The sequence below is a fragment of the Homo sapiens genome, chromosome 13, assembly GCF_000001405.40.
Source record: "Homo sapiens chromosome 13, GRCh38.p14 Primary Assembly".
Classification (NCBI taxonomy): Eukaryota; Metazoa; Chordata; class Mammalia; order Primates; family Hominidae; genus Homo; species Homo sapiens.
The window spans coordinates 66,289,805-66,301,859 of NC_000013.11; the positions used below are offsets into that span (position 1 = coordinate 66,289,805).

General features: G+C 33.9%; 1 long non-coding RNA gene across 1 annotated transcript in view; it reads left to right on the top strand.

Moving 5' to 3' along the window:
- The window catches only part of LOC124903179 (uncharacterized), a 41,261-nt gene extending 37,667 nt beyond the window's left edge, over positions 1-3,594 (top strand). The window contains exon 3 of the long non-coding RNA XR_007063815.1: positions 3,517-3,594. This is a non-coding gene — a long non-coding RNA (uncharacterized LOC124903179). The remainder of the gene's footprint in view (positions 1-3,516) is intronic.

Here is a 12,055-nt window from a genome sequence, read left to right on the forward strand (position 1 = left end):
TGGCCCATAAATATATTTTGTTTGTTTGTTTGTTTTGTTTTTTGTTTTGTTATTGTTGTTTTTGAGACAGAGTCTCATTCTGTTGCCCAGACTGGAGTGCAATGTCTTGATCTAGGCTCAGTGCAACCTCTGCCTCCCGGGTTCAAGCTATTCTCTTACCTCAGCTTCCTGAGTAACTGGGATTACAGTTACTCATCATCATCCCTGGCTAATTTTTGTATTTTTGTAGAGACGGGGTTTCACCATGTTGGCCAGGCTGGTCTTTAACTCCTGACCTCAGGTGATCCACTTGCCTTATTTGTTTGTTTTAAGACCACAACATATTTTAAAGAGAGAGAGATTGTAGGAATTTAAGCATCACCTGAAAATGTGGAAGATTTGGCATCTACTGAGCCCATAATTCTGTATGAAGGAGCTATGGTAGCCAACAGTTACATATCTCTTTCAAAATGAGTAAGTACAGTTTCCTGGCTGGGTGTGGTATCTCATGCCTGTAATCCTAGCATTTTTGGAGGCCAGTGTGGGAGGATCACCTGAGCTCAGGAGTTCAAGCGCAGCCTAACAATATGGTGAAACCTCGTTTCTAACAACAATAGAAAAAAAAATTAGCTGGGCGTAGTGGTGCACACCTGTAGTCCCAGCTAGCAGGAAGGCTGAGACAGGTGAATCACTTGAGCCCAGGAAGCAGAGATTGCAGTGAGCCAAGATCGTGTCACTGAACTCCAGCCTGGGCCACAGAGCAAGACCCTGTCTCAAGAAAAAAAAAAAAAAGTGCATACAGTTTCCTGCCCAATTTATCTATTCTAAATTGGTATGTGTGTATGTGTGTTTGAATTTGTTCAGGCTGAAATATAAAATAGTGATAAAGTAATTACAGAATATGCCTGAATGTGCAGAGAGATATGGATTCAGAAAATTTAAGAATTTTAACAGAAGTGAAGAAAGATAAGCCAGGGGATTCAGTTAACTTTCTACCTGTTTTTGTCAGAAGTTGAGAAACTCTATCCTAACGGTATTTGTGCTCTCTGAAGCTCGGGCAAGGTCTTTTATGAGAGTAAAGGGAAGTTCATTCCTGAAAATCTTGATAACAATATGTAGGAACAGAACTAAAGAAAATGTATTTGTAAGGACCTGTATCATCATGATATTTTAATTATTTTATTTTATTTTATTATTTTATTTATTTAGAAGAAGTTTAGAAAAACTGTTACTATTACTACTACTACTACTACTAAATGCATTCATGGAGCACTTCTGATATTCCAGACACCATTCTAAACTCTATTAATGAATTACTCTATTTAATCTTCATAATAAGCCTATGAATTGAAGATTATTATTCTCCTCATTTCACTTCTTTAAAAGATGATTGTATCAATTATATAAAATGCCAGGTTTTACACTGAAAAATGGAAATTTCTCAATTTGATGAACTTTGGGACCATTATCTCTTTTAAATTTCTATGTAAGTAGGATTTGTAAGCTAAATCTCCTTATCCTTAATCCATTATTAATTCTAATAAATATTGAAATTTTATAAGAAACTTGACTACCACTAAATATTCCTGAAGGCATCATCTATAAACTAGCTAAGCATTTCACTTTATATCACCTAGGTTTAAATTAATTTATGAGCCACTGGAACGCATAACCAAAGTCATGTATTTTCTAATGATACTTCATCATCATTAGATAGTTTAAAAGTCACTCCATCGACACATGGGTATTTGTGCTGGATTATCTTCTCTGCCTAGAATTCTCAAATTGTAAAAACAATACTTGATTAATACAAAAATATTCATAAATTATTAGGAATAAATACTAAAACTAACATACAAGAGTAATATGAATCTATAATTTGATAATTCCCTAGGAAGATAGATAAATAGATCAATTATAAAACATACAACTGCTCCAAGCTTAACATTTTTAAACAGAATGTCTGTATATGTTTTCTTTCTCAAGAAGTTTAGTATTAGCTGTTTTTCTCACACTGATTTCCGTGTGCACATAAGGAAGCAGATGTTTTCTATGTGCCCGATGTGCAATATTATCAGCAATAATGTCATTAAAAATAATTAAAGAACCAAATACCATAGAGAAATAAGAAGTTACCCTTTGCATGTGGCTTAAAGGAGCAGTGGCTTATTGAATGATACTATTAAACTACTATTAACTGAATATTTATATTTAATACCTTATGTTATTTTTCTTCATCACTCTGTGTTATAAAAGAGTGCACTGTAAAACCGTGAACTACAGAGAGTTGACATTTAAAACACACAGTCAGCTTTTCCTGGGGAAAGGGGAAGACTAATGAAGTACTACTACATGGCACGACCTTGGCGTTATAAGTAATTTGTTTCATATCTGTTATCAGGGATTCTTGTTTGTCAAATTAAGAGGTGCTTCCCCATTTGGACAATGAGCCAAATTGTAGATATAAGAACAGTTGATTAAAATTGGTGATGCAGTAATAGAGGGCACTTATGCTTTGAAGCTTAACATACAGCTTTCTCCATGATGCTTGGGGAGACCATTCTCCTCTCCATGTGAGCACAAAGCTCCCCTTGATGTCAATGGGAGTTGCATTTCCATGACGAGAAGAAAATAGGCTTGCTAAAGTTAATTACCAGACTGATTTTGGTCTCCTTTTAATGCCCTGTTTATTGGCAATAGAAGCCTGATGTGTGGCTCACTTTGTTCCTCACCTGATTTTCCAAGGTAGGGAACAGAAAGCAAGTGTAAAAAGGTAGAATCTGTGAATAGGTATACCTAGAACACGTGAAAGGAATTCAGCACTTTTATTTAACAGCAGAGACTTTCACTAGATTTCCCAGTAACTCTGATGAGGTTGTATTCACCCTAAACTTGTGTGTCATTTTAGACTATGTTATTTTTATCTCAAGACTGAATAGCACAATTGCTACACATTTAATTAATAACATATTTGAGCCAACATATAAGTACATCAAACATTGAGTAAATAAAACTCTAAGTAGAAAGAGAATCTTCATTGCAGAACTAGTTAATAAATCATTTTATTGCTGTTGTTTAAAAAATGGCAGTTTATCATTGAGATCCAGAATCAAAGAGTGCTTGAATTTTTCATAAGAAGAGGTGATATCACATAGTAGTTGAAGCCCAGACTCTACACTCAGCCTAGTAGGCTGGCAGTGTTACTTATTCACCCTAGGATCTTGAGTAGATACATATAGTCTTCCTGTATCTCAGTGTTCTCATCTGTGACAGGGTGACACAAACAGCATATCTTTTTAAAAAGCATGAGAAAATTAAATTAGCTAATACTGGTAAATCTGTTGAACTGTGATGAACATAGAATAAATAAGTGCTTTAATAAATGTTAGTTGTTATAATTGTTAATGAATCAATAAGGTAAACCTCACTGCAGAAGATGTTTATATGGTGTAGAAAATAAAGAACAGCAAACAGTTTTGCTATATATCCATGTTTCAGTCTGAGAATTGTGCAGCTAGGTAGATTTTTGTTTTCTAGGAAATAATACTCTTTCTCATGATGTGTATGACGGACATCTCTGTTAATTATTCTGAAGATCTCTGGGCTCTGCTGAAACCCGCACTATTTCTACAGCTGTATGGGATAATCCCAACCAAAGGTAAATAAAACCCTAATTTTAAAAATACATTGTACATCAGGTATGTCACATTATAAAACTCAGATTAATCAACTAGTAAATATTCCAACCATCTTTTGTAATCTCTGCCATAACCAGGGATAGTGGCCCTTTAGATCCTAAACATAATTTCATTAGAGATGCTTTAAACAGGCAGAGAGGAATAAAGACCCATCATTGAGGCTGGATGTGTATCAATTTTACGTCACAGGGATATGGTCATCCTAGCTATGGCAACCAAGGTAATTATTTTCTCCTTTTGAAACTGTAGGCTTTTCTAAAAGAAATATTCCTTTCCATAATCAAACAGGAGAATTGGATAGCAATAGGAAACTTGATGATATAAGCTGCCTAGGGGTCGATCAGCATAGATGCCATTATTATAATATTTCCCAAGGGCTGGAACTTGTAAACAGGGTTACTTAAGTGATATATAATTTAACATTTAAAAATATTACTCTAAGTGAAGTAAAAATATGTCTTATGTAGAATTTTATATAGTTTATACAGTGTGAATCATGATTTATATAAACTATTACTTAAAATGATAAGTTAGAAAAATATGAGTCCATTTAAAAGTATTAAGTTACTAATGTCCATTTGTTATCAGGCTTTGGAGAAAATTGTAATAGTGGCATGTGATCCACTGAGATGTAAAAATATATTTTACTTATTCAACTGGTAAATGGCATGTTTTTTGATTGTTGTCTATTTGATAGTTTTTCTTTAGCTTTCAATAATCCCAGAATCAAATGGATGGTCCATTCCTGGAAAGTGTGCAGAGTTGGTGACATGAGTTGATACATGGCACATACACACACAAACCTACACATTCCCTCGGGCTTAATTTTCTGTTACTTTTATTTTTCTGTGATGTGTGGAGTTTTGTGGGGTTTTTAAAGTGATCTAAAATCTCTTTGTGGTAGAAATAAAATACTCTTTTTTTGTTTGTTTTGAGACAGAGTCTTACTCTGTTGCCTAGGCTGGAGTGCAGTGGCATGATCTTGGTTCACTGCAACCTCAGCCTCGCAGGTTCAAGCAATTCTCCTGCCTGAGACTCCTTGGTAGCTGAGATTATAGGCACCCACCACCAACCCCGGCTAATTTTTGTATTTTTGGTAGAAACAGGGTCTCGCCATGTTGGCCAGGCTAGTCTCGAACTCCTGACCTCTGGTGATCCACCCACCTCGGTCTCCCAAAGTGCTGGCATTACAGGCATGAGCCACCACACCCAGCCATAAGATGCAGTTTTAAAATGACACCTGCTATCACCTTAGTCTTTTTCTGTAAGGCTGATGGCCAGAATAGCATCTCCTGGGTGAAGGTGCATAGCAGTGGGATGGGGATGTATAGTGAATGCAACAGAGTCTAAAGGAGGCTTCTGTGATCACCTCAAGTCATGAAGTATCGAGGAAGAAACTATTACTTATCAAAGTAGCAGTCACACACCACAGTCAATGTGATGTGCAAATTTCCAGGTATACGGAAAGAAACATGAATTCTACAAAAGAAAAGTGCAAGTTAAAAATAAAAATTAATTTCATTATCAGTACTTTCTTCCAAAGCAGCAAGTTTCTAGAAAAACATTAACTTTGCTCTTGAAAGTTACTGAATTTTATTGAAGTCAACGGTTCCCCTGGGGGCAAATGGACAAATTCCAGCAACTAGATGGAAGGGAATAAAAAAGAACAATTGTGGAAAGCAAAATATTTCGGTTGTTTACAAATAATACATTTTGTTAGAATTTTCCCATCACGTAACATGAAAGGAAAGTAATGTTATATTTATTGTTATAAGGACCTTATTATACATCTGAAAATTGGGCTATTGCCCAAGTAGAATCAATTTCTTCCTATTTCATGTAGACACTCTGTAAAAATAAAAAGGCTAAGATTTGGGGTAGTGGTTCATTCATTCACTCATCAAATATATATTGAGCATCTGCTTGGTACCAGGCATGATTCTAGGGGCTTGGAATACATTAGTAAACTAGAGTTTATCTTTCAGTGGGGGAAGATAATGAACAATAAGCATTGTAAATGAATAAGTAAAGTATAGCTATGTTAGAATATGTTCAGTGCTATGGGAGAAGAAAAGGAAACTAGTTTGTAAATAGGATTGTTAATGCTGGAGAAGTAATTCCAACTTTAAAATGCAGTGGTCAGGCCCAGGTACGGTGGCTCATGCTTGTAATCTTACCACTTTGGGAGGCCAAGGCAGGTGGATCACTTGAGCTCAGGAGTTCAACACCAGCCTGAGAAGTGTGGCAAAACCCCATATCTACTAAAAATACAAAAAAACAGCCAGGCATGGTTGTGTGCACCTGTGGTCCCAGCTACTCGGGAGGCTGTGGTGGAAGGACACACTTGAGCCCGGGGCAGGGGGCAGCAGTTGCAATGAGCCATAATTTTGCCACTGCACTCCAGCCTGGGTGATAGAGCAATACCCTGTCTCTAAAATAATAATAATAATAATAAATTAAATAAATAAATAAATGCAGTGATTAGATACGTTAACCCACAAAACAAGACTAAATACATTTAAATAGTTTGAAATCATACAAATTATATTTTCTGACAACAATAAAATGAAACTAAAAATAATAATAGAAGGAAAACTCACAAGTATGTGAAAATAAAACAACATACCCTTAAACAACCAATGTAACAAAAATTAAATCACAAAAGAAACTAGAATATATTTAAGGATGAGTAAAAATGAAAACACAACATATCAAACATATGGGATGAAGTGAATGTGCTTGGAGAAAAATTTGTAGCAATATAAATTAATCTTAAAAAAAAGATCTCAAGTAATAAATTAATGTTGGACCATGAGGAGACAGAAAAAGAGAAAATTAAATGCAAAGCTGGCAGAAGGAAGGAAATAGTAAAGATCAGAACAGAGATAGATAAAACATAAAATAGAAAAACTATAGTCAACAAAGCCAAAAATTATTTCTTTGAATAAATGAATAAAATTGACAAAATTTAGCTAGACTGACAAAGAAATAAAAAAAGAAGACACAGTTGATGAAAATCAGAAATGAAAGGGGGAATGTTATTGCTGACTCTACAGAAATAAAAAGAATTACAGGAGAATAATGTGAACCAATGGATACTAAACAATTAGGCAGTCTAGATAAAGTTAAAAAATTCTTAGAAGCACATATATTACCTAAACTGACTTAAGAAGAAATAGAATGTCTCAAAAAACCTATCAAAAGAGATTGAATCAGTATAATAATTTAAAACTTCCCAAAAAGGAACAGTCAAGGAACAGATAGCCTCACTTGTGAATTTTTCCAAACATTTAAAGAAAAATTAATGTCAATACGTCTTGATTTTCTCCAGAAAACAGAAGAGTAGGGAAGATAATTTATACCATTTTATGATGCCAGAAACACCCTGATACAAAAACTACATTAAAAATCACAAAGAAAGAAAAATATAGGCAAATATCTCTTATGAATATAGAAGCAAAAATCCTCAAAAAATACTAGGAAATCAAATCCAATATTGTATTAAAATTAATCATTAAGCCACGACTAAGTGTGATTTATCCCAGGAAGGCAAGGATGGTTCAACATAAGAAAATCAATCCATGTCATATGATACATTAGTAGAACAAAGGGGAAAAATAAACAATCATCTCAACTGATACAAAAAAGGAAATTGACAAAATCAGCATGCAAAAGAATAAAGCCTTACCTTACACTGTATACAAATGTTAACACAACATAGATCAACAGCATTAATATAAGAGCTAAAACATTACAATATTTAGAATAAAACATAGGGGCAAACTTTTATGACTCTGGATTTAGCAATGAATTCTTAGATATGACATAAAAATCATGAGTAATAAAAGAAAAAAGTAAATAAATTGGACTTTGTTAAAATTTAAAAATTTTGTGCATCAATAGACATTATCAAGAAACTGAAAAGATAAAAATGAGAGAGAACAGTTGTAGACCATATATCTGATATCAGGAGTAAATATCCAGAATATATAAAGAGCTCCAAAAACTCAACAACAAATAGACCACACAATTAAACACAGGCAAACAACTTGTATAGACTTTTCTCCAAATAATATACACAAATAGATCAATATCCTTAGTTATTTGGAAAATTAAAGCTACAATGAGATACCACTTCACACCTGCTAAAATGGTTATTAAAAACAAACAAACAAAAATGAGCACCAGCATGGGCAACATAGTGAGACTGTGTCTCTAATAAAAATTTAAAAATTAAACAGGCATGGGGGTGCATGCCTGTAGTCCCAAATACTTCAGATCCTGAGGTGGCAGGATCAACTGAGCCCAGGTAATTGAGGCTACAGTGAGCCTTGATCATACCACTGCACTCCAGCCTGGGCAATGGCCTGGCTAACAGATTTTCCTCTCTCCAAAAAAGAGAAAAATAAGTGTTGGTGAATATGTAGAGCATTGGACCTCCACACATTGCTTCTGGTAATGTAAACTAGGCCAGCTACTGGAGAAAACAACTTGACAGTTCCTCAAACAGCCAAACAGAATTACCATATGACCCAGCAATTCCATTTCAAAGTATATGTCTGCAAATTAGAGAAATTCACAAACAAAAACTCAAAGAGGTACTTATACACCGATGTTCATTGCAGCATTGTTCACAATCATCTAAAGGTATTAATAATGCATGTCCATTAACAGATGAATGAATAAACAAAATATGATTATGATTATATATGTATATATTATATTTATATATTATATATTTATATTATATATTATATATATAATTCAGCCATAAAAAGAAATAAATTTCTGATACATGACATAATACAGATGAACCTTGAGAACAAGCATTATGTTAAGCAAATAAACTGAACTCAAAATGGCAAATATTGTACATTTTTACAGATATAAAATATCTAGAATATGAAAATTCATAAAGACATGAAGTACATTAGAAGTTACCTGGAACTGAGGATAGGGGGAAATGGGGGTTTACTGCTTAATGGTTATAGACTGTGTTTGGAGTAGTAAAAAGTTTTGAAATAGTGATAATGATTGCACAACATAGTGAATGCAGTTAACTCCACTGTATAGCACACTAATAGTTAACATGGTTAAAGTAGCTAAAATGGTGATAGATAAATATGTAGGGAGAGAAAGAGAGAGGGAGGAAGATGGAGATGGAGGGAGGAAGAAAGGGAGATAGAGATGATAGACAGATATAGATAGATACATATAAATAGATATAGATAGATGATAGATATAGATAGATGATAGTAGATGATAGTGATAGAGATAGACATAGAGATAGAGAGATAAGATAGAGATAGAGATAGATAGAGAGATGAGATAGAGATAGAGATAGATAGATGAGATAGAGATATAGATAGATAGAGATGATAGAGATATCTTCACAATAAAAAGAATGAAGGGTTGGTGCAGGCCTGAGGGTGAAGATTGTATTTAAGCTAAGACTTGAAGCTAGGAAAGGAGTTCTTTACAGATATCTGAGAAGCCTATTTCCAGCAGAGGAAAAGCTGATGCAAATAACCTGAGGCAGACACATGCCTGCATGTTTGAGGAGCAATGAGGAGCCAATGGATCATAACAGGGTGAGAAAGACAGGTCATAAAACATGAGATTAGTGAGAAGAGGGGCATCCACACTTTATTTGCCTTGTAGGACAACATAAGGGCTTTAATTTTCATTCTGAGAAAAACAACTGACTCTTGGAGTATTGTGAGAAGAGGAAGGATGTCTGGCTTACCTTTGTTTTAAGAGGATCTCTCAGGCATGCTTAGAATAGACTAGATGGGGGAAGGTTACATGAAGAAGACCAGTTAGAAGGAGAGCAGTTAGGAGACCCATAATAATCCAGAAAAAGGATGATAATACTTAGCCCAATTGGCAAGAGGAACTATTGAGACATGGTCAGATTGGATGAACTTTGCAGTCAGAAAGAGAAAGATGTTCCACAAGTATGAAAGAGAAGAGATAAAGATAACTTTAAATTTTCTGGCCTGAATATCTGATAGAGGTGCCATTAACTAGGAAGTTGGAAGACTGGGTGCAGTAGCAGACGTGTGTGTGTGTGTGTGTGTGTGTGTGTGTGTGTGTGTGTGATGTGAGAGATTATGAGTTATGTTGGATATGTTAATTTTGACTCATCTTGGAAATGTCCAAGTATACTTGTTGAAAAGGGATTTGGATCAGAAGTTCTGATGTTTAGGGGAGGGGTCCAGACTGGAATACGAGCTTCCCAAGAGAGTAAGTGTAGATAAGAAAAGAAAGGAAGCCAAGGAACTGAGCCTTGGACCTTATAAAACATTCAAATAAGTCATAAGCAAAGGAGAAACTAACCAAGAAGCCTGAGAAGAAATGGCCAGTGAAGTAAGAGGAAATCAAAAGATTGTGGTTTCCAGGAAGCCAGGGGGAAAAAAAAAATGTTTCCAGGAGGAGGAAGTTCAACTATGTGCCTGTAAATTCAGAGAGGTTTGAATTCACACCAGCAAGGCCAAATTTTCAGTTATATTCACATTGAAGTATGATTGTGTGTGTATAAATTTAATGGTGAATGAATTTAAGGATATGTAAAATCATTTTATGACTTTTTTCCTGTAATAAACCAAATGTATATCACATATAAAATAATTTGTCACAATTGGTTATGAGAATATTCAATTAAAAGAAAGTATATGTAATCTCATTAAGTATAAAAATATTGTAATTTTACTTACAATCACACAATAGTATGTTGTAGAAAACTTTTACTGTGTTAGGGTTTCAGGGTAAAAATTTTTACTACTGTTGTTGGGTATTATTTTTCAGAATTAGGTCAATGAAAACCAAACTAATCATGAAATTCGAGGTGAAAAAAACTGATTCAAACAGAAGAATCACAAGGTTCATAAAAAACAGTGTTTGAATTTAAGAATTTAAATGGGATTGTAATATTATTTGAAAAATCACTGTAATTCAATATATTTGCAAATATGTGAACCTTAAGTAGGTGGCATTGAATGAGTCCAAAAATAATTGTGTTGTACAAGTGCTGTTAGGAACACAGTCATAAGGTATAAAGAAAAAATGAGAATAAAAATGGAAGGCTTTTTATTTAAAAATAATAGATTTTTTACTATAAAGCTTCAAGAACAAAGTAATAGGTTAAGATAACAAAAATACGGAAAGAACTCATTTCAATATGGTGCACTGTTTAAGAATTCTAAGAAATAAAAAATGCATATGTAGAGGTAGAAATTATGCTCCGTATTTTATGTTGAAATATACATAGTGGTATAACAGAAAATTGATACCTTTGGAATACACATTAATTTATACTTTCAGTGAACTAAAATATGAATAAGATATTATTTTGATAACCATGTTTTACAAGTACATATTATACCTTATAAAATACTATAATATTAAGATACTAATTTTATGTTTTTTAAACAGTGCAAAGTCTGGCTGATATCTACTAAAATTTAGATTAGTAGCTGTGAAAGCATAAGAAAAGTGTATAGAGGATTTATTATGTGATCACTGTGCCTTTAAGAACACTGGAAGAATTTTTAAGCACTCTCTCTCAAAAGAACAAATAAAGGAGCTTCCTTTAGGGAGGGAAGATCAGCTCTATTTAAAACAAAGCAGAACAATGAAGCATTTTTAGACTCACAACACCACTCCTCCTTTTCATAGGTTGGTTTGCCCTCATGCAAAGTAACACCCTGGCATCTACATTAAAATTGAAATTGACAAGGCATCCCTTTCATCCCTTACTGCCAAAACTCCTCATTAATAATAATTAACCATCCCTGGCCTCTATCCAACAGTTTAATAAATACTGGAACAACTCTGGGCCTCAGCTGCATTTGTAGCTTTAGCCACGGAATGGGAATGATGGGATTCTGAATGAGATTCACTGAACAGCATCAGTGCAGCAAAATGACTACTCAATTGTCTGTTAATGAATACCCATTATTTAAATATATATTTATGTTAGAGTATGTGTAGAAATACTCATTCAAATAGGTCATATTCAGGTTTATAAAGTTAATTTCTGTATGTGCCTTCAAAGATTGTTAGTGTATAGCATCATAATATTTGATAATTTTTATAACAATCATCCTTTTATACATTTCATATAGGTATGCTCTCTTAGGTAATGTAAATAACTTTTATTTCCTGGTAAATGGTGACTCTTATGTCCAATGTCAACACCATAAAGCAATATAGATGATACTTAAGGAATGGTCATTGCAAATGTACTGTTTTATTTACTTGATGGGTAAATTCTTCAGTTTGGTTTGTGATGTTATTACTCTTAAAATTACCCAGAGCATATAACCAAATGTCTTCATAAGACTATATATTGTTGTATTTATTAGAAGAAATGTGGT